General features: G+C 51.4%; 2 protein-coding genes across 4 annotated transcripts in view, besides 7 other annotated features; one reads left to right on the forward strand and one right to left on the reverse strand.

The window, feature by feature from the left end:
• ECSCR (endothelial cell surface expressed chemotaxis and apoptosis regulator) overlaps positions 1-9084 on the reverse strand; it is a 14184-nt gene extending 5100 nt beyond the window's left edge. For 2 of the 3 annotated variants that reach the window (NM_001293739.2, NM_001077693.4), the window contains exons 1-8: positions 8951-9084; positions 4480-4524; positions 4098-4148; positions 3886-3945; positions 2815-2859; positions 1664-1777; positions 1166-1264; positions 943-979 (exon numbers count right to left, since the gene is read on the reverse strand). In NM_001293739.2, the coding sequence (NP_001280668.1) occupies positions 943-979; positions 1166-1264; positions 1664-1777; positions 2815-2859; positions 3886-3945; positions 4098-4148; positions 4480-4524; positions 8951-9011 (512 nt within the window). In that variant the 5' untranslated portion in view covers positions 9012-9084. Of the gene's footprint in view, positions 1-942; positions 980-1165; positions 1265-1353; positions 1463-1663; positions 1778-2814; positions 2860-3885; positions 3946-4097; positions 4149-4479; positions 4525-8950 lie in introns of all 3 variants that reach the window. The other variant, NR_121659.2, reaches the window with a different exon arrangement.
• Positions 3832-3891: an enhancer, noted in NCBI's record as "active region_23233". NCBI's record gives its function as "activates an Ori minimal core promoter by ATAC-STARR-seq in GM12878 lymphoblastoid cells {active_cell/tissue: GM12878}" and the evidence as "EXISTENCE:reporter gene assay evidence [ECO:0000049][PMID:35858748]".
• Positions 7266-7855: an enhancer, noted in NCBI's record as "H3K27ac-H3K4me1 hESC enhancer chr5:138840510-138841099 (GRCh37/hg19 assembly coordinates)". NCBI's record gives its function as "activates a minimal SCP1, AML or CMV promoter by ChIP-STARR-seq in naive H9 embryonic stem cells {active_cell/tissue: H9 hESC(naive)}" and the evidence as "EXISTENCE:reporter gene assay evidence [ECO:0000049][PMID:30033119]".
• Positions 7856-8444: an enhancer, noted in NCBI's record as "H3K27ac-H3K4me1 hESC enhancer chr5:138841100-138841688 (GRCh37/hg19 assembly coordinates)". NCBI's record gives its function as "activates a minimal SCP1, AML or CMV promoter by ChIP-STARR-seq in primed H9 embryonic stem cells {active_cell/tissue: H9 hESC(primed)}" and the evidence as "EXISTENCE:reporter gene assay evidence [ECO:0000049][PMID:30033119]".
• Positions 9034-9621: an enhancer, noted in NCBI's record as "H3K27ac-H3K4me1 hESC enhancer chr5:138842278-138842865 (GRCh37/hg19 assembly coordinates)". NCBI's record gives its function as "activates a minimal SCP1, AML or CMV promoter by ChIP-STARR-seq in naive H9 embryonic stem cells {active_cell/tissue: H9 hESC(naive)}" and the evidence as "EXISTENCE:reporter gene assay evidence [ECO:0000049][PMID:30033119]".
• Positions 14785-15079: a silencer, noted in NCBI's record as "tiled region #4960; K562 Repressive DNase matched - State 8:EnhW". NCBI's record gives its function as "represses a minimal TATA promoter and a strong SV40 promoter by Sharpr-MPRA in K562 cells {active_cell/tissue: K562}" and the evidence as "EXISTENCE:reporter gene assay evidence [ECO:0000049][PMID:27701403]".
• On the forward strand, positions 17345-20041 carry SMIM33 (small integral membrane protein 33). Its single transcript, NM_001365197.1, has 2 exons — positions 17345-17471; positions 18873-20041. The coding sequence occupies exons 1-2, from the start codon at positions 17463-17465 to the stop codon at positions 19260-19262; spliced, it is 399 nt and encodes a 132-aa protein (NP_001352126.1). The 5' UTR covers positions 17345-17462; the 3' UTR covers positions 19263-20041.
• Positions 18897-19418: an enhancer, noted in NCBI's record as "OCT4-NANOG-H3K27ac-H3K4me1 hESC enhancer chr5:138852141-138852662 (GRCh37/hg19 assembly coordinates)". NCBI's record gives its function as "activates a minimal SCP1, AML or CMV promoter by ChIP-STARR-seq in naive H9 embryonic stem cells {active_cell/tissue: H9 hESC(naive)}" and the evidence as "EXISTENCE:reporter gene assay evidence [ECO:0000049][PMID:30033119]".
• Positions 20983-21504: an enhancer, noted in NCBI's record as "H3K27ac-H3K4me1 hESC enhancer chr5:138854227-138854748 (GRCh37/hg19 assembly coordinates)". NCBI's record gives its function as "activates a minimal SCP1, AML or CMV promoter by ChIP-STARR-seq in primed H9 embryonic stem cells {active_cell/tissue: H9 hESC(primed)}" and the evidence as "EXISTENCE:reporter gene assay evidence [ECO:0000049][PMID:30033119]".

Below are 21575 nucleotides of genomic sequence, written 5' to 3' on the forward strand. Positions count from 1 at the left end.
GTGTGGGGCATGTGTATAGTATGGGTTGTGTGTATGGTGTGTGATGTGTGGGGTGTGTGTGGTGTATGCATAGTGTGGGGTGTGGGGAGTGTGGTGTGTTTGTGGTGTGTGTGTGTGGTGTGTATAGTACAGGGTGTGTGTGGTGTGTGATGTGTGGGGGATGTGTGGTGTGTGGGTATGTGTGTGTAGTGTGGGAGGTGCAGTGTGTGGTGTGTTTGAGGTGTGTGTGAGGGTGGTGTGTACAGTATAAGGTGTGTGGTGTGTGGTATGTGGGGTGTGTATGAGATGTGTGGGTGTGTGTGTAGTGTGGGATGTGGGGCATGTGGTATGTTTGAGGTGTGTTGGGGTGTGTGTATAGTATGGGATATGTGTGGTGTGTGGAGTGGTGGTGTGTGTGTGTAGTGGGGTGTGTGGTGTGTTTGAGGTATGTGTGGGGTGTGTGTGTGATGTGTGATGTGTGGGGTGTGTGGTGTGTCTGATGAGTGGGGTGTGTGTGTGTGTGGTGTGTGGGTATGTGTCTGTAGTGGGGTGTGGGGTGTGTGGTGTATTTGAGGTGTGTGGGAGTGTGTGTGTGGGGGTCGTGTGGTGTGTGAGATGTGCGTCTAGTGGGGTGTGTGGTATGTGGTGTGTTTGAGGTGTGTGGGAGGCGTGTATAATATGGGGGTTGTGTGTGATGTGTGATGTATGTAATGTGTGTGGTGTGTGGTGTGTGGGTGTGTGTAGTGAAGTGTAGGGTGTGTGGTGGGTTTGAGGTGTGTGTGGGTGTGTGTAGTGAGGTGTAGGGTGTGTGGTGGGTTTGAGGTGTGTGGGGGTGTGTGTGTGATGTGTGAAGGTGTATGGTGTGTGGTGTGTGGGTGTGTGGGTGTGGAAGGCAGGAAGTGTTGGTTCCCTCTGGGAGTTGGGGTCTGGGTGTCAGATAGAAGATTTTTCTGACGGTCTTACCTTTCAGACAGCCCTGAACTCCCAGGTTTCTGGGGATCTGTAAAAAGCCAAAGGCACAGGTTGGGGCTCACATGCTGTAACTCAGAAGTCCAGCCTTCCTCTCAAAGCCCACCTGGGGACCCTCCGGCTCATGGAGTGGCAGATGCAGGCTGGTGTGAGCTGGGGCTCTAGCCCTGGGTCCGCCAGCAGAGGGGAAAAAGATCCCCGAGGGCAGGGCACGCACCTTCAGACTCCTTGCTCTTCCGACACTTGAACCTCAGGCTGACCACACCAACTAGGATGATCACCACAACCACCAGGATGACAATGAAGCTGATAACACCTGAACAGAGAAAAGAATGGGGTGAAGGGGGCCAGTCGGGGGGACAAAGGGGCCAACAAGAGTCCGGCATTCCCTTCCCAGATAAGTACTGTGTAGACAGGCTCCAGGAGCAAAGTGAGTTCCACTTCTCTGCTGAACAGGTGAGCTCTCAGCCTGCCCGCCCCCTAGCCAGAGTGGGCTCTCCACCCGACTCCATCCCTGCATGAGAACATGGAACCCAGCACAGCCAAGAAGAGCTAACTGGAGGGCAGGGGCCCCCCTCCACAAGGGTCTTCCTTATCAGCCAGAACCTCCTGGAACAAATGGGTGAGATTTGAACTTGCGTTTCAGACCCAGAGTCCAAGTTAATTCCAGGGGTAGGGGTTCCTCCTATGTCCCACCTTCTCCTTCCGGTCTCACCAAATGCAGCCACAGTGAGCACAGTCTCTGACGTGGGGCTGGGCAGGATGGTCGCATCTTCCCTCATGCTCAGGCTCATGGTGGTTGAATTGGGGGGAACAGTTTGAAATGTGTCTAAAATGGAGTGGAGTCAGGGGCATCAGCGAAGGGGACTGACACAGGGAAGCTAGAGCTAGCTTCCCTCCCGCTTCCCCCTAGGGAAGGACCAGAATTTATGCTGCAGAGCTAGGAGGTCAGACTGGGCAAAATAGAGCTGTCTGTATTGTGCCAGGGTTGAGGTGGGAGGAATGTTTCTGCTCAGGCAAGGCTCCAACAAGCCAGGCTGCCTGTTAAGGGGCACAGATTTCTGGCCCTCTTAAAAACTGCTATGTTGGCCTGGTGCGGTGGCTCATGCCTGCAATCCCAATACTTTGGGAGGCCAAGATGGGTGGATCACTTGAAGTCAGGAGTTTGAGACCAGCCTGACCAACATGGTGAAACCCCATCTCTCCTAAAAAAAAAAAAAAAAAAAAAAAAAAAGACCGGGCACGGTGGCTCACACCTGTAATCCCAGCACTTTGGGAGGCCGAGGCGGGCAGATCATGAGGTCAGGAGTTCAAGACCAGCCTGGCCAATATGGTGAAATCCCATCTCTACTAAAAATACAAAAATTAGCCGGGCATGGTGACGCGTGCCTATAGTCCCAGCTACTTAGGTGGCTGAGGCAGGAGAATCTCTTGAACCTGGGAGGCAGGGGTTGCAGTGAGCCAAGATTGTGCCACTGCACTCCAGCATAGGCAACAGAGCGAGACTCTGTCTCAAAACAAAAAACAAAAAATAAAAACTAGCTGGGCCTTTTGGTGCATGCCTGTAATCCCAGCTACTCAGGAGGAGGAGGTTGCAGAGAGCCGGGATCGCACCGCTGCACTCCAGCCTGGACGACAGAACAAGACTCCTTCTCAACAAAAAAAAGGTGCTATGTCACCTGTGTCTTCCCTTCTCAACCCATTGTACTTCAGGCCCAATTGCTGTTCCACTTATCTCTCCTCACTTCCCCTTCCCAAATAAGTCTGGGAGAATAAAAAAATCTGAGAGCCAAGGGATAAGACGAGAGAAAGGGTCACAGACATCTCCTGCCGACTTCTCTTCAGGGCGAGTGCAGCAGGACATACCTCTGCTTGTGCCTCCGTCTCTTCCACTGCTGGGGACACCTGCGCCTGCACCATGAAACAGCATGACCAAGATGGGGGCATCCCCCAGCAGCTCTTCTCCCTCGCTGCTAAGCAAAGGCCAGTCTTCCCTGCCTGAGAGGACTCTAGCTCTTTCTCAGCCTTTTCTGCCTTCCTTTTCCTTCATTTTGGGGTATCCTTCTCCTCCCTCTCCTCTCTGGGTATGCCTTTCTCAGTCTCAAGTCTAAGCTCCTGTTACCTTCGTTGTGACCAGGCCCAAGGTCCTGTCTCTACGCCCCACCAAACCTCTTTCTTTCCTGAACCAGGGTGCCACTGATGTGGGTCCTGACCCCTGTGGCCTCCTGAAGAGGGCAGAAGGAACCCATCCAGATGGAACCCAGTGTTTTTCACCGCTGCCCCCCGCCCTGGGCACTCAACAAGTCCTGATGTGTACATCTGTGGCTTGGCCCAAGTTAGGCCCAACCAGGTCGGGGAGAGCCCATCCACGGTGCCTGCCCTCGGCATCACGGGTTTACTGGCTGCCATGGGGGCCTGCGCGGCCTTCTTTGGAGCTGCCGTGAATGAGGAAGCACACTCGGGCCTGCTCAGGGCCTTGGCCGGCATGTGCACCGGGTGGGCTCTTCAGTCCAAAATCTTCCTCTTCTTTCCTGCTTTCAGTTCTAGAAGGGGCCATTCTCTTGTTCACCTCTGGGCAGTTCCCTCTGCCTGGAATAAGCCCCACTACTCTCCACCCCACCTGGAATAAGCCCCACTACTCTCTACCCCACAGCCTCCACATGCTCAGCTGACCCCTTCTCAGCTCGGCTTCAGAAGCTGCTTCTGGGAGTCATCCCTGGCCCCCGAGTCTGAAGTGACTGACATGTGCCTGGGCTCCCACACTTCTGCTGGTGCCCACCGCAGCCCTTCTCACCCTGCATGTCATCCTCAGTGTGAGGGTCTATTTCCTTGTCTGTTCCCGCTCGCCCCAGTCTATATTCTCTTTTAGAGCAGAAACTGTTGGGGTCCTCACTGGGCCCTCCCTGGATGGCATTTGTAGTCTGAATGACACAGTACCTGGGGTACCAGTGCTGGACAGATGGCTTGGCCTGTTAGCCTCTGAGGAAGGGATGTATCCTGCAAGGACAGAGGCAGATAGGGAGTGGGAGGTGGGGTAGGTTTGGTGACACCACACTCCCTGTCCCACCCAAGAACCCCTGGGCTCCAAGCAGGTCTGAATGAATGGGTGTGGGGCAGGAGCAGGGACCTCAGCAACCACACTCACTCACCTGGGTTGGAAGAAACTGGCTCTGTGGTCAGACTTAGACCGCCAAGGCCTCCTGAAACAGAACATCTGAGGCTGAGGGGTGCACCGCCTCCTACTGTTCCATCTCCCTCTCTTGTTCCCTAGATCTGTGTGTCTTTCTCCCTACCCCATCCCCCACCCCTCATTCCCAACCATTCACCTCTTTTTTCTTTCAAGGTACATTAGACTCAGCTAGGCTGAAAAAAAATCCTTAGATGAGCTCAGCCTTGGTGAGTCCTGAGAGCTCCCGCTCCAGCTGCGGCCCCAGCCCCCTGAGGTTAAGGCTAAATTGGCATAGAGCTCCTCTCACCCTTCCTAAGCTCCTAGGCCTACACGCTGGAGTAGACCCATGTGTTTGGTCTTACCCTGAGAGCTAGAGGTCTGGGTCATTGTGGGCTGGGAGTTGTGGCCTGCAAGAGAAAGCAAAACACATAGCTTGGTAAGTCCCCTGCCCAGCACAGAGCCTAGAAAGGAACCCTTAGAATGCCTTCTGGCCCAGCCTGGGCAACATAGCAAGACCCTGTCTCTAAAAAAAAATTTTGTTTTGTTTTGTTTTTTTTTTTTTTTTAAATTCTCCAGGCACAGTAGTGCACACCTGGAGTCCTAGCTACTCAGGAGGCTGAGGTGGCAGGATTGCTTGAGACCAGAAGGTTGAGGCTGGCTGCAGTGAGCTATGATTGCACCACTACACTCCAGCCTGGGCAACAGGTGGAGACCCTATCTCAACAAAAAAAAAAAAAAAAAAAAAAAAAAAAAAAAAGAAAGAAAAAGAAAAAAGAAAAGAAAACACTGGCCAGGTGCGGTGGTTCACACCTGTAATCCCAGCACTTAGGGAGGCTGAGGTGGGTAGATCACTTGAGGTCAGGAGTTCAAGACTAGCCCGGCCAACATGGTGAAACCCTGCCTCTATTAAAAATACAAAAATTAGCAGGCCTGATGGCACACGCCTGTAATCCCAGCTGCTTGGGAGGCTGAGGCATGAGAATCGCTTGAACCCGGGAGGTAGAGGTTGCAGTGAGCTGAGATCATGCCATTGCACTCCAGCCTGGGAGACAAAGTGAGACTCTGTCTCAAAAAAAAAAAAAAAGAAAAGAAAACAGAAAAAAACGTTTTGGCTTTCTAAGCCTACCATGCTGGAAGGCAGACACACTAGGCAGAGGACTAAAGGATGTGGGCTGTGGCTCACGGTGCTGGCTTCCTCTGAGACTGTGACTCAATAGCAACATCACCACCACCTCATGGCTCAGAGTCCCGAAGTCCTTCCCTGTCTCTTCAATCTGACATGGGCATTTTACCAACCTGATGCAGAGTCAGGAGAAGGTTATTTTAAACTAGTGACATTTCTAAGGACAGAAGATCAATGACCTGCCACACCTAGACAAGGAAGGGCCCAGGACTCCAGGTCTCTAGGCTAATGTTTACCTTAAGCTACTGTCACCCTGGTCCTGCCCCCAGGGAAGGGGCTGAGAGACGGGAAGGTGAGTGAGATGGGGATGGGGATTAGGGCTTGTATCTTGCCTAGAGGTAGGGGCCTGTGCAGAAAGTAAGTTCTGAGGTATATATAGGAGGCAGGGAAGCTCTAGCATGAGCAACCCATTCACTCTCACAGGCAGAGGATACATAGGAAATGGTTGTTATTGACCAAACCCAGAGAGGGGTCAGTCACCAAGAGTCCCCAATCAGAAGCCCTCACTGGCTTTTTTGTATGTACACGTGTGTCTGCGGGGCTCTATGCAAATGTATGTGCATGCTCGTGTGCCCTTGTGTGTGTCCCGCTGTGTATGTGGAACCTGAAAGGTCAGGTTGTATTTGCTCATTTTCCACAATGAAATCATTCTTGAAACCTGTGAACAATGTGAAAGGAAAACAACGTGGGGAAGTGGAGCCGCCCAGCTGGGTTCCCGTCCCTCTGCTTGAGCAGGGACTACAGCCCCTGGCCTGGCTCTGCTGCTCCCTTGGTCTCTCAGCATCAGGGGAGCATTCAGCCCAGGCCTGGGTGGACAGAGGCGGCTGGGTGCCAGGGGCCCACCCCAGCCTGTGGCAACCTGCTGCTCTGCTTATTTTCCTTAAGCCACTGCCTTCCTCCATGGGGCTATCATCTGGATAGTGTAGAATTAATTGCTTCCAAGTGTAAAATTACCAAACCCTGGGCCATGTTTTTCTAGATCACCATTTCTGAGAGCCCCATTCCCTTGTTGGCGAGAGGGGGATGGTCAAGAGGGGAGTCAAAATTTATAGGAAGCCCAGGCTAGAGAAAACCCTTTCTAGCTGGGGAGGACCCTTGGAGAATCCTTTTAACCCAAGGCATGTCCTGAAAACATGTATCAGTTACTAATCCAGCATATGTAATGTATTTTTTGTTTTTTTTTTTTCGTTTTGAGACAGAGTTTCGCTCTTGGTCACCCAGGCTGGAGTGCAGTGGCGCGATCTCAGCTCACTGCAACCTCCGCCTCCCGGGCTCAAGCTATTCTCCTGTCTCAGCCTCCTGAGTAGCTGGGATTACAGGCGCCTGCCACCATGCCCGGCTAATTTTTGTATGTTTAGTAGAGATGGGGTTTCACCATGTTGGCCAGGCTGGTCTCAAACTCCTGACCTCAGGTGATCCATTCGCCTCAGCATCCTAAATGCTGGGATCACAGGCGTGAGCCACCGAGCCTGGCCTAATGTACTATCTAAATGCTGTAAGGTTATAACTTAGTTTTTGGTGGGAAGGTACAGGGAAGGCACAGGGAACTGCCTTCCTGCATTTATCTAGAAAGAAAATTATTCAGTGGCTTGGGAGGAGTTCCAAAGTCACAAGCTTCAAGACCCTGCTCTTTCTTTGCCTCTTGCCCCTCCCACTACCCAAACTTTTTGTCACCAACAAAGATTTCTCTGTGGGTAAGGGAGGGACTTAGGGAGCATCTGTGTCTACAGCCGAGGGTGTCTCTGACCACTGGGCCTGCAGATTCCCAAAGAACTCTAGCCACAGGAATTTTTGATTTCCCAGGTCTCCCCTCTCTAATTCTGTCTGCTTTATCCCCTTCTAGTCTATCTCCACACACACCCCTCCCCATTTTTTCCTCAAAAGCATAGTTTAGAAGTTAAAATCGTGGATTTTAATCGAGCCTGGCAAGCCTGAGTTCAAGTCCTGGCTTTGTCGCTGTCTGACCTAGGCCTCAGTTTTCTTTACTTTGAAGTACAAGTGACCAGCCTGGGCAACATGGTAAAACCTTGTCTCTACAAAAAAATGCAAAAATTAGCTGGGTGTGGTGGTGTGTGCCTGTAGCCCCCAGCTACACAGGAGGCTAAGGCAGGAGGATTGCTTGAGCCCAGGAGGTCAAGGCTGCAGTGAGCCATGATCATGCCACTGCAACTCTGGCCTGCGCAATGGAGCAACCCTGTCTCAAAAATAACTAAGTAAAATGCAAGTGGTATCAGTACCTCGCAAGTTGTTGTGAAGGAAGGAAAATGCATATGAAGCACTTAACGCAGTGCCTGACATGCTCAATGAAGGCCAGACACTTTTGTTTTTGCCCTGTTCTCTCAAATCCTCCAAGTCTCAAGTCTGCCCTGCCTCTGGGTATCCGTAGTCAAGTCCCTTTATGGGCCTGAATGTGCTCAGGATTCCTCAGTCCACCAAGATGAAGGAGCCAGGAAATGCTCTGCACACTTCAGGATGAAGGGTTAGGAAACTCGGGGCGGGTGACAGCAGCTTAGGTACAGCCGACACAGGGCATTTGAGAGTGCTGGCACTTGCCTGGGAGAAAACAGTGGGTAGGGAGGCTGGGAAAAGTCTCGGCCTGTGAAAATGCCACCTCATGAGCTTCACCTGCAGTTTCCACAACAGCCTTGTTCCCCAGCCCCAGACCTGTGACTCTGTCATGGAGGGGGTAGGAGGGGATGGGGACAATCAGAGTCTTGTCCTCCAGCCCATGGACTTTTAGAGAAATGCCTGACATCTCCGGAAGCCAGTGTTCTGGTACTCAGGCCCTCTTACCCACCACCGACGAGGGGCCACCACCCCTCCCCATCTGAGCCCTCTTGTGCACTCTTTCTGCTGCTTTGAGCACAGAGGACTTGTAGAGGGTGAGGTGGGGGCAGAGCAGGAATGGTCAAAGGGAAGTTGCTGCCCTGTGAGTCAGAATGCCCTGGACTCGTCATGATTCCCAGCAACTGCTCCCTGATGAGAGGACCCCTATGAGCGGCTTCACAACTCATTGGCTGGCAGAGCCTGTCAGAGAGGTGCCATTTCCAAGTAGCCTCCTCTGGAGGTCATCTACTCTAGCCCCCTGGATGTGAGAATGTTAAGCACATCCTCCTTGGTGAATAGTTCTTTGTGTCTAACCTGAGTCCCTCTTGCTGTGATTTAACTTTAAAATCTACATTAGGAATTCCTAGGTTGCTACTCCTCATGTGAAAGGAGAGAACAGATCCCCTGTGAAGCCCATGGTGCAGAGGATTTGTGTTAGAACAGTTGAGAGAGTGGCCGTCGTCAGCCCTGCCCCAAGATCAGAGGGTGAGGGTCATGAGTAGCCTGAGCACATCCTAGAAGGAGCTTTGGGCCTGGGTCTTGCACTAACACAGCTCCCTCCCACAATTCAGGAGGCCAGCCTTTATGGGGAGCCCAGCTCCCCCAGGACAATTTCCCACAAGAGGGTTTAACCGTAGCTCCATTTTACCCCTGCCTGGTAATCAGGACCCCCCAATCCAACTGATCTTCATGGAAAGGCTCTGGAATTTCCCCTGGGCACAGCCCCTGGATGGAAAGCATGTGTCTCCTGAGAAAGAGACCGATGCCTAGAATGGCCAGCTGCGGAGAGGAATTGCCATGGGAAAGCGGCAGGCACCTCTTACCTCGGAACAGGAGGAAGCCCAGGATCACCCAGCACAGCTGCATGGCTCCTGCGGTGCCCATGTCAGCTGGGTATGTGGCGGGCAGGCAGCAGCTCAGTGGAGGCTCTGTCCATAGTGGAGAAGAGAGAGGGAGTGCTGGGGCGGGATGGGGGTGGGGACTGGCTCTCCAGGAGCTTCCTGTCAAAAGAATAGAAGGAAACACATTGGGACCAGCTCCAGGGGCCCTGCTCAGCCATGTCCAGATGAGGATGTGAGGCTGCAGCAGCGACTGTGCCCACCCAGCATGGCCTCTAGTGCCTATGCACAATGACCAACCATGGCAACCTGGCCCCATCCCCATTCTCTTCCCTTCTGAGGGTCCATCAGGTTCCACCACAGACCGCCTGGGGGTTTTCCTGGAATCTAACACCAATCCCGCCCAGTACTGTTTCAGACCAGGTTCTCCTTTCCCATGATTCAGCCTGGAAGCCCAGCCCACCAGTCACCCATGCTCCCTGGACCCTGAATTCTCCACATTCCTCTCCCTCCTCAGGGATCCCAATGCAGATAGGACTCCCCACATCTTTCAGAGAGGCCCTATACGCATGATTATTATTCCTTTTTTACTTTTTTTTTTTTAAGAGTTGGGGTCTTGGCCAGTAATCCCAGCACTTTGGGAGGCCCACGCCTGTAATCCCAGCACTTTGGGAGGCCGAGGTGGGCAGATCACGAGGTCAGGAGACCGAGACCATCCTGGCTAACATGGTGAAACCCCGTCTCTACTAAAAATACAAAAATTAGCCAGGTGTGGTGGCAGGCGCCTGTAGTCTCAGCTACTGGGGAGGCTGAGGCAGGAGAATGGCGTGAACCTGGGAGGTGCAGCTTGCAGTGAGCCAAGATCGTACCACTGCACTCCAGCCTGGGCAACAGAGTGAGACTCCGTCTCAAAAAAAAAAAAAAAAGAGAGAGATGGGGTCTTGCTATATTGCTCAGTCTGGACTCAAACTCCTGGGTTCAAGTGATCCTCCTGCCTCGGCCTCACAAGTAGCTGGGACTTCAGGCATGTGCCACCAAGCCGGGTATCGTTATTCTTAATAGAAAAGCAAGAGTCCCCCTATTTGAAGCACTCCTCCCTCTGCATCCTCACTGGGGTGAGGTGTCCCCTGTCCTCGGCATCCAGCAGCACTCATCCTTATCCCAGGATTCTCTCTGTTGCAGACTGCAAGCCAGCATTGTGACTTTTTTCAATATTCCTAGGACCTGGCACAATGCCTGCCACATAGCAGGTCCTCAGCACATATTTATTGAACTAAACTCAAAAGATTTAAGGTCAGGGCTGCGCAATGGCTCATGCCTACAGTCCAGCACTTTGAGACGTTGAGGCAGGAGGATTTCTTGAGGCCAGGAGTTTGAGACCAGACTAAGCAACACAGCAAGACCCTGTCTCTACAAAAAAAAAAAAAAAAAAAATTTAATTAGCCAGTCATGATGGTGCATGCCTGTAGTCCTAGCTACTCAGGAGGCTAAGGCAAGAGGACCTCTTGAGCCCAAGAGTTCAAGGCTGCAGTGAGCTATGATCAGAGTGAGACTCCATCACTGAAATTAAAAAAAAAAAAAAAAAGATTCGAAAGCAGAGGAATGTCAGAAACAATCCTACCTCCTTAATATTAATTATATTATTGTTATTAATTCCCTTCCAGTCTATTTGCCTTCCAGTCTTTGACAATATGCATATACATATACAATCATTTAAATGAATGGTATCCTTTTTTCTTTCCTTTTTTTTTGTTTTTTTTTTTTTTGAGACAGAGTCTCTCACTGTTGCCCATACTGGAATGCAGTGTAAGATGTCTGCTCACTGCAGCCTCCACCTCCCAGGTTCAAGCCATTCTCATGCCTCAATCTCCAGCGTAGCTGGGACTGCAGGCTCACGCCACCACGCCCACCTAATTTTTGTATTTTTAGTAGAGACGGTTTCACCATGTTGGCCAGGCTGGTCTCAAACTCCTGACCTTGTGATCCACCCACCTCAGCCTCCCGAAGTGCTGGGATTACAGGCATGAGCCACCATGCCTAGCCCTTTTTTCTTTATTTTCTTAATATTTTATTTTGAAACAGTCACAAGAAAAGTTGGAAGTACATTACACAGAACTTTTTTCCCTGAACTGTTGTTCAGAGTAAATTGTCAACAGGATGCCCCATCACCCCGAATAGTTTAGTGTGTATTTCCTACAAGGGACAGTCTCCTACATAATCACAATACAGCCATCAAAATTAGGAAATTAATATAAATATATTAATACCATCTAATCTTCAGATCCTATTCAAATTTTGACAGTTGTTTCAATAATGTCCTTTATAGCGAAAGGATCCTGCCCAGAATTACTCACTGAAAGTCTCTTCAGTCTCCTTCAATCCGGAATAGTTCAGACTTTCCTTGATTTTCATGGCCTAAACACTTTTGAAGGTTACAGTACAGTTATTTTATAGAAGTTCTCTCAATTTCGGTTTCTCTGATGTTTCCTCATAAGATTTAGGTTATCTAGGCTGGGAGCAGTGGCTCATGCCTGTAATCCCAGCACTTTGGGAGGCCGAGGTGGGTGGATCACGAGGTCAGGAGACTAAGACCATCCTGGCTAACACGATGAAATCCCGTCTCTACAAAAAATACAAAAAATTAGCCAGGCGTGGTGGCGGGTGCCTGTAGTCCCAGCTACTTGGGAGGCTAAGGCAGGAGAATGGCGTGAACCCAGGTGGTGGAGTTGCAGTGAGCCAAGATCATGCCACTGCACTCTAGCCTGGGCGACAGAGTGAGACCCTGTCTCAAAAAATTAATTAATTAATTAATTAATTAATTAATTAAAATTTAGGTTATCTATCTCGGCAGTGACATCAAAGAAGCAATGTTGAGTCTCTCTCTTTGCATCCTATCAAATAATGCATTATTTTTTCCTTTTTTTTTTAAGAGACAGGGTCTCAGGGCTGGGTGTGATGGCTCACGCCTGTAATCCAGCACTTTGGGAGGCCAAGGAGGGAGGACTGCTTGAGCTCAGGATTTTGAGACCAGCCTGGGCAACATGGCAAAACCTTGTCTCTGCTAAAAATTAAAAAATTAGCTAGGTTTGGCGGTACATGCCTATAGTCCCAGCACTCAGGAGGCTGGAATGGGGAGGATGGCTTGAACCTGGGAGGCAGAGGTTGCAGTGAGCCAAGATTGTGTCACTGCACTCCAGCCTGGAAGACAGAGCCAGACCCTGACTCAAAAGGAAAAAAAAAAGAGAGAGAAGGATCTGGCTCTGTCACCCGGACTGGAGTGCAATGGCACAATCTCACTTCACTGAAGCCTTGAACTCCTGGGTTCAAGTGACCCTCCTGCCTCAACCTCCTGAATTGCTGGGATTACAGGCATGAGCCACAATGCCTGGCTCAATTTTTTTTTTTTTTTTCTGCGATGGAGTCTCGTTCTGTCACCCAGGCTGGAGTGCAGTGGCGTGATCTCAGCTCACTGCAACCTCTGCCTCTTGGGCTCAAGCAATTCTCCTGCCTCTCGGCTCACTACAACCTCCACCTCCTGGGTTCAAGTGATTCTCCTGACTCAGCCTCCCGAGTAGCTGGGATTACAGGCACCCACCATCATGCCCAGCTAATGTTTATATTTTTGTAGAGATGGGGTTTCACCATGTTGGCCAGGCTGGTCTTGAACTCCTGACCTCAGGTGATCTGCCCGTCTCGGCCTCCCAAAGTGCTGGGATTACAGGCGTGAGCCACCACGCCCAGCCTGCAAAGACCCTTTTTCCAAATAATGTAACATTCACATGTTCTGGGGATTAAGACATGGACATATCGTTTTGGGGGCCACAAGTTAGCCCACCACAGCCAGTTTTCTCCACTCTAAAGTTACACTTTTATCCTTTATAATTAATAGAGATGTTATGAGGAGATATTTTCTATATCTATATATAAACTCATGTATTTCTGTTTTATTCACTAGGTTGGAATACAATCATTTATTGTTCTGATGCTCAAATTGTCTCCATTTTGGCCACTGTTAGCCCCTACAAGCTGGCTTCTGTGTCCTTTTGACACGTCTCCATCATTTTTTGAGCACTTCCTTACTTTCTGGCATAATAAGATGTTTCAGGCTTTTTTTTTTTTTTTTTTTTTTTTGAGGCAGAGTTTCGCTCTGGTTGCCCAGGGGGAGTGCAATGGCATGATCTCGGCTCACTGCATTCTCCTTCTCCCAGGTTCAAGTGATTCTCCTGCCTCAGCCTCCTGAGTAGCTGGGATTATAGACACACACCACGAAGCCTGGCTAATTTTTGTATTTTTAGTAGTGACGGGGTTTCACCATATTGTCCAGGCTGGTCTCAAACTCCTGGCCTCAAGTGATCCACCCACCTCGGTCTCCCAAAGTGCTGGGATTACAGGTGTGAGCCACCGCACCCGGCTTCCAGGCACTTCTTGTGCTTCACCTGCCCCAGCCCTGGAATCGGCTGTTTCTTTAAGGGGTCTTCATTCCTTTTGGTGCAAATGATATTTAGAAACTGAGGGCCGGGCACAGTGGCTCATACCTGCAATCCCAACAATTTGGGAGACCTAGGCATGAGGATCGCTTTAGCTCAGGAGTTTGAGACCAGCCTGAGCAACATAGTGAGATATCGTCTGTGCAAAAAAAATTTTTTAATTACCCGGGTGGGGTGGTGTGTGCCTGTAGTCCCAGCTACTCAGGAGGCTGAGGTGGGAGGATCACTTGAGCCTGGGAGGTTGAGGCTGCAGTGAGCGAGATCATGCCACTGCACTCCAGCCTGGGCCACAGAGTGAGACCCTGTCTCAAAAAAACAAATTTTTTCAAAAGAAAGAAACCGAGGTCTGAGTCGTCAGTGTGCTCGTTGGTGCTAGGGAGTAGCATCTCTAAGGCCCTTCTCTGACTCCCATGATCCTTAAATACTTACTTATTGGATCACTCCCCTTTCAGTAACCAAGCTCCCATTTCTGCTCCCATTCCTTCCCCACCATGTGGATGCCTTCTTCACCCTCTCACTCGTCCTCATTTGAAGTGCACAATTCAGTGGCTTTTTTTTTTTTTTTGAGACAGTCTCCCTCTGTTGCTCAGGCTGGAGTGCAGCCGCACAATCTCGGCTCACTGCAACCTCTGGCTCCCGGGTTCAAGCTATTCTCCTGCCTCAGCTTCCTGGGTAGCTGGGATTACAGACACGCCACCAAGCCTGGCTAATTTTTGTGTTTTTAGTAGAGATGGGGTTTCACCATGTTGGCCAGGCTGGTCTTGAACTCCTGACCTCAGGTGATCCACCCACCTCGGCCTCCCAAAGTGCTGGGATTACAGGCCTGAGTCACCACACCAGCCTCAGTGGTTTGTTTGTTTGTTTGTTTGTTTGTTTGTTTTCAGGCAGAGTCTCGCTCTGTTGCCCAGGCTGGAGTGCAGTGGCATGATCTCGGCTCACTGCAAACTCCGCCTCCAGGGTTCATGCCATTCTCCTGCCTCAGCCTCCAGAGTAGCTGGGACTACAGGCGCCCACCACCACGCCCGGCTAATTTTTTGTATTTTTAGTAGAGTTGGGGTTTCACCGTGTTAGCCAGGATGGTCTCGATCTCCTGACCTTGTGATCTGCCCACCTCGGCCTCCCGAAGTGCTGGGATTACAGGCGTGAGCCACCGGGCCCGGCTGCCTCAGTGGTTTTTATATATTTAGAGAGTTGTTCACTCACCCCAAATAAAATCAATTTTATAACATTTCCATTACCCTAAAAAGAAACCCCACACTCCTTACAGACCTATAGCTTTTTACAAGGCTAGAAGTGGGGTGTGGTAGAGGAAAGCAGCCTTTGCTCCTTACTTACCCAACTCTAGCCCAGAGTTTCCGATGACCTCAAAAGTCAGCCGCCTCTCAGACCTGCCCTGAGTCTATCATGGCAACCCCACTCTGGCCTGCTCAGGGTATTCCCACAGGCCCCTGTCCTTCGGCTCCCTCTGCAGACTCCTCAGCCTGCCTGCCTTTGGTGGTGACAGAGTGAAAGAAGGGTTGCTCTTTGCCTTCCTCTGGCCAGCAAAGCCACTTCCACCCTCCCCCAGAGAGATGGAAAGGAGGTGGAGGTTGCAATGAGCCGAGATTTCGCCACTGCACTCCAGCCTGGGTGACAGAACAAGACTAAGTCTCAAAAAAAAAAAAAAGAGTCATGGTTCCTGGAAAGATGAGCCTCCGCATACCTGTTACATAAGACAAAGTGTGACAAATGTTAGGAGCGGGTAAGAAACATTATGCTGTAAGGCTTAAGGAAAAGAAAGCAAGTTACTCAAGTACAGGGCTGAAAAATTCGTCCCTAGAGGAGGCCACACTTGACCTAAGCTATAACAGATGTTTAAGGTTTAGACGGCAGGAATGGGTGGGCAGCTCATAGCAGTGGTAGAGAAGTGACACAGAAGGCTGGGGCTGTAGTCTGGTCCCAGAAGTTCCACCGTATTATCCTCTCGGAAGCCCTTTAGGAGACAGATCCAGGATTAATGAGGGAGGAAAGGGAAGAAGTAGTCATCAGAAGGATCAAAAATTGGGCTTTTGGACACAGGGACCGGAGCCCCAGTGGAGATATCTGCCAGAGCAATGGCACATGTGTCTTGAGGAGGCAGGAGGTGAATAGCAGTGGCCGAAGTTCAGGACCCGTGGCAGAGTCCAGATTCCCTCTGGCTAAAGTCTAAATGGACCAAGGTGGGAAGCAGAGGATGAGCAGAGCCTTTGATCCCGTTGGGAGGGGGTCAGCCAGGGGCTTCAGGGTCAGCCAGGGGCTTCAAGGTCAGCCAGCAATAGGTCCCGCTCACTTTGCAGATCAGGTCAGCAGTCCAGGGATCTGGGCTCAAGTGAACTTGGAGGTCTGAGTGGGGGCCCTGGATGTCAGGATGTGGGCAGCTCGGCTGAGAGACAAGGAACCAGGATGCTACATTCTGTTTCATCCTGGATCAAGACTCCAGCGGAGGGGAGTTCCCAGGGTGTCTCTGGCTCTCCAGACTGGAAGGGAGGATGGTGAGTGCACAGCAATGGACAGAATGAGGGATGGCTGGTCCCACAGAGTTAGCTGTGGCTAAAAAAAACTGTCTCTAGAGAGAGGAGAGATTGGTGGGCAGTTTTTGTGACTTGGACACATTAAAACACATACATACTCTCAAATGAAGTTGCATTCAGGCAAATGCAAAGAAATACAGAATTCATATTTATAAAAACCAAAAGAAAAAAGGGAAAACAATGCCTTGTGTGAGAATAATAAACATCAAATTCTATTATTATTATTTTTTTGAGATGGGGTCTCCCCCTGTTGCACAGGCTGCAGTGTAGTGACACGAACATGGTTCATGGTCTTTGATCTCCTGTGCTCAGTGATCCTCCCACCTCAGCCTCCCAAGTAGCCGGGACTATGGGTATACACCACCACACCCAGCTAATTTTTAAATTTTTTGTTGAGATAAGGTCTCACTATGTTGCCAAGACTGGTCTCGAACTCCTAGCCTCAAGTGATCCTCCTGCCTTGGCCTCCCAAAGTGCTGGGATTACAGGCATGGGCCACCACACCCGGCCAATAAACATCAAATTCTATGAGATGTTTATCCCTGTGGTGAGAAGGAGGGGAGAGGTCAGGAAGTGAGGGCTTCTGTTTTCATTGTAATATTAATATTTTAAAAATAAATGTGACAAACTATTGAGAGAAGACAGAGCTGGTGGTTGAGCCTTGGAGATTTAGAGACTTATTATGTATTTATTAAAGAGAGAATGTATCTGCAGTTTCCATTGTGTTTGAAATATTGTACTTAGAGGCTGGGCACGGTGGCTCACACCTGTAATCCCAGCACTTTGGGAGGCCGAGGTGGGTGGATCACGAGGTCAGGGGTTCGAGACCAGCCTGACCAACATGGTGAAACCCCGTCTCTACTAAAAATACAAAAATTAGCTGGTCATGGTGGTGGGTGCCTGTAATCCCAGCTACTCAGGAGGCTGAGGCAGGAGAATTGCTTGGACCCGGGAGGCGGAGGTTGCAGTGAGCCCAGATCACGCCACTGCACTCCAGCCTGGGCGACACAGCGAGACTCCATCTCAAAAAAAAAAAAAAAGAAATATTGCATTTAGAAAGAAAAGATCAAAGGACAATAACTCCAGGAAATTGGTTAAGGCGAGGAGCCAGCATGACTTGGTGGGGGGCAGATTAGGTTGGGGCTCTGGCCAGGCTTCTGAGATCTGGTGGAGGAGGGGTGGTCAGGCACACCCAGGCTCCTGAAGCTGGCAGGGGGCATGAAAGGAGGCGCCAAGGAGGAAGATTAAGGTACTATCAGAGTTAAGGGCAGAGCCCAGGGTAGCCCAGATGTTCCCGGAAGGAAGTGCAAGCGCAGGAGAGCGGTGAGAGTGTGTGCACAGGGTGTGTGCCCATGGGCCCCGCAGACGTGGCAGCTCCGGGTAGGGGCTGAATTAGGGTGGCCAGCCCTCCTTTACCCAGCTGGCTGCCAGTCCCAAGGGAGCCCTGTGTCGGCCCGGACAATGCACCAGGTAGACTCTGCTCACCCCTTCCTGCCAGGCTGGGCTGACTCCCTGCAGGGTCCCCCTGTCTGTCACCAGCCTCAGCTTCCCCTTTTCCTCTGCACATCTAGAGCTGCTTCCCCACCCCCTGCCCTGGGAACTTTGTGGCCTGGGACCCAGAGACACTTGCAAGGTAGGGTGGGGGGTGTGCCTTTCCACGAAGGGATGCATGTGGGAGATGGGATAGTGTGGACAAGGGGACTGAGGGGCTAAAGGACATGGGTTTGTCCTGGGAAGCCTTTCCTGGCCTACCCATGGGGAGGGCCATGCTGAGAGTGCAGGGTTAGAGAGAGGGGCTCCACCCGCTAAGATTTGTTCCAGGATGGCCCATCTGGGAAGGGGAAGCTAGGGAGGCAAAGTTTCTTGGGCCTGTGAGGACCTCAGCTCTAGGGTTTACAGTTTTGCCATTTGCTACCTTCACTACAATGCCACCACCCCCATCTAATACCAAGCAGGGTGGAGTCAGACAGGGGTACGGATCGTGACCCCCAGCTTTTGGTAGAAGAACACTGGGACTTGGACAGAGGAAGACTGGCACAGGGTCTCCACAATCCATCCTGGGCAGAGCCAGGAGTCCACACTGGGCACCCCCTCTCCTCCAGGACCCCAGAACCTGATGTTGAGACCTCGGCAGGGTGGCAGGGGTACAGTTATGGAAAGAGGCATCCCCCTGCCTTCTAAGTTCACATCCCCTCTACCTCTACCTCTACCTCTCCCGCCGCCAGGGCACCACCTGTCTGTCTTCTGTGTGAGTGGGGAGTAAGGGGAGCCTAAAATGCTGGACAAGGACCCCCTTTCCCCAGGACTTTAAGAAGCAGGTGCTCTCTGCCCACTGCCTAGGATGTGGGGACAGCAGCCCATAGCGTGCCAAGACTCCCGACCCAGGGCACAGGATCTATTTAGGAATTTTGCTGGAGACCTGGGAAAAGGGGACAGTGGGAGGAAACTTGGGGGGCCAAACTGTATACGCTGGACTGTGATGAAGCCAGCACTCTCTTTGACCCTGTCTGAATGTCTTTGTCTCCCTGCATCTGTTTCTTTTTTCTCTGTCTCTGTCTGTATCTTTATTTCTGTCTGTTTTTATGTGCCTTTTTCTTTCCCCTTTCCTCTTTCTTTCTCCCTCTCTGTATCCCCCTCTGCCTTTTCTGCCTTTTTCTTTGATCGTCTCTGCTGCCATGTGGTTTACCTCTGTATTCTCTGCCTCTCTCCAGGTCTTTACTCTGACTTTTTGTCTTTCTGTCTTTGTCTCTGGTCCCTCCCGCCCTCAACCCCCCGCCTCAGGTTCCTTTGGGTGTTTGTCTCTTTCTATTTTGGTCTTTTTCTGTGTGTATACATCCATGTCACCCTCTCTCTCTGCCACTCTCCTCCCAGGCTGGCCACTACTCCTGGCCTTCTCCAGCTGTGAACAGTTCATCAGAGCAGGAGCCCCAGAGGCAGCTTCCGGAGGTGCTAAGTGGCACCTGGGAACAACCTCGAGTTGACGGGCTGCCTGTGGTCACCGTCATTGTCGCTGTCTTTGTTCTGCTGGCAGTCTGCATCATAGTGGCAGTCCATTTTGGGCCAAGGCTGCACCAGGGCCATGCCACTCTCCCTACAGAGCCACCGACCCCAAAGCCAGATGGTGGCATCTACCTCATCCACTGGCGGGTGCTGGGCCCCCAAGACAGTCCTGAAGAAGCACCACCGGGCCCTCTTGTCCCTGGCTCCTGCCCTGCGCCAGATGGACCCAGGCCCAGCATCGATGAAGTCACTTGTCTGTAGGAGGGAGACTTTGGAGAGTTAGCCTGACCTAGCTCAGAACAAGAAACCGGGCAGAGAACTAGGGCAAAAGCAAATTGGAGCCTGGGCATCAGAGCGTCGGAAGGGCACACTGGACTCAGCTGGAGCTGCTCTCTCAGAACATTTATAGAGAGAGCCCTGTGGTGGGCAAGAGAAATCAAAACTTGAGGGCCCTGCCCAGAAACATGCTGCGGGGGGCCTTCCCAGGGCCCAAGGCCACCTCACAAAGTCCCTCCCTCCTCTTCAGGGACCACCAGACCCCTGAATCTCCTTTTCTGAGTCTCTGCCCCTTCATTGCACGCTTAATCTCCTTCCTTTGTAATGTGAATCCAACTCCCCACAAGCAGGAATGTCAGAGGCCCCGTGGAGAGGCCCTCATCCTACAAAGGCCAGCCAGGGAGAGCCCAGGCGGAGAAGCTGGGATCTGCCTTCCCTTAGGCTCACTGGTCTTAGGGAAGTGACGAACGTCTGTTCTCCTTGGGGCAGTCAGTCAGGGGCAGTCCTTCGGCTGTTAGGGCCCAGACCTTGTTGACAAGCTCCGAAGTCCTTGTAAGCCCAAGCACAATTTATAGTTCAAAGATTGGCTTTCAAAGGCCCCCACTGACTCTGTCTTGCCTCTCCAGAAGGGATGGGGGAATTTGGGAGCCTCTCATTGCCTCCCACTTTCTGTGTGCCTGGGCCTGTTGGAACAAGCCTAGAATGTACCACAGGACATTTCCCAGATCTTTCCGGCTGATGAGAAAACAGGAAAGGAAAAGGAGCTCCATGGAACTTGTTTTGGGAAGGAAGGAGTGGGGTGGGGACCACTCCCAGCTGTGGGAGTGCCTGGGTCTAATCAGCAGGGGGGTCAGGATGATGCATCCAGAAGCCAGGAAGACAAAACTGGGCCTCCTGGTGGCTCAGTGCCTGCTGGTGGCACTGCCTTCCCCAGCACCTCTGAATCTTACTCATCTGCAGTCAAGAACACGCAGACAGACATTTATGGCAGGACCTCTGGTGCTCTACCCTGGGGAACTCCTGGGGACAAGAAGTCCCCTGGGGGCATTGGCAAGACCCCACCACAGTCAGGGAGGCTGGGAAATAACAGAATATAAAAAGGAACAGAGGTGGGGATTGCAGTGTGTGCAGAGGGCAGGCTTGCCTCCTTTGGGATTGGGGAGAGGCAGCTAAAGTGTTAATAGCTGCCCCTTGTTGTGGGTCAGCTAAGTGCTGGACACCAGGCTTCTCTGTGGACCTACAGATATGATACCATTCACTCCTCACAACAACCTCCAGGGGAGGGGCCACTGCTATCCCCGTTTTACACTTGGGGAAACTGAGGGTTATCAAGATACCTAAGTAGACACAGGTCCTAAGTGGTGGAGTCAGGATTTGAAGCTGGGGCCATCAGACTCCACAGCCTAAGCCCCATGACAGTTACTGGATGGATTGGAAAGGCCTTTGATTCTGGGCTGGTTTCTAGTATACAAGCCACTGGTGTGATGATGGAGGATCTTCAGGCCTTGAGGACAGGGTGGGATACTTAGGGAGAGTGGGGACTGTTCCCCCTTGACTCCCTTGGCTCTGCCGTTCTTAGGGGCAGCCAGTTCCTTCTAACCCATGTGTGTCTGTGTGGAGCATTTCTCCACAGTGATGCTGTACTCAGAAATGTATATTGAGCCTTTGTGACCAAAAAAAAACAAAACAAAACAAAACAAAAAAAACCAAAACAGGCCAGGCACAGTGCACGGTGTCTCATGCCTGTGATCCTAGCACTTTGGGAGGCCAAGGTGGGAGGATCACCCAAGGTCAGGAGTTCAAGACTAGCCTGGCGAAACCCCGTCTCTACTAAAAATACAAAATTAGCCGGGCATGGTGGTGCATGTCTGTAATCTCAGCTACTCAAGAGACTGAGGCAGGAGAATCGCCTGAACCCGGGAGGCGGAGGTTGCAGTGAGCTGAGATCGTGCCGTTGTACTCCAGACTGAGTGACAACAGCGAAACTCCAACTCAAAAAAAAAAAAAAAAAAGGTGGGAGGGAGGGAAGGAGCCCAGCTTGGTGAGACAAATGGAACTAACAGAGATGGGCTGCCTTCCCTCCCAGATGGGGACAGCTGTGCCACCACAGTGTTGAATCAGTGGCTCAGTTGTAACCGTGATGGTGGAAGGTATGGCACGGCAGCTGGCTGTGCTGTCCAAGGCCCTCCAGGGACTGTCCCATCTCATCACACAAACTCTTTCCCCCTTGTCCGTTTGCAGGCTCTCTCATCTGGCACCTATAGTGACACCTGCTCCTTTGAGTGGCCCCTTGCCCAG

The sequence above is a fragment of the Homo sapiens genome, chromosome 5 (genome assembly GCF_000001405.40).
Source record: "Homo sapiens chromosome 5, GRCh38.p14 Primary Assembly".
In the NCBI taxonomy this organism is placed as follows: Eukaryota; Metazoa; Chordata; class Mammalia; order Primates; family Hominidae; genus Homo; species Homo sapiens.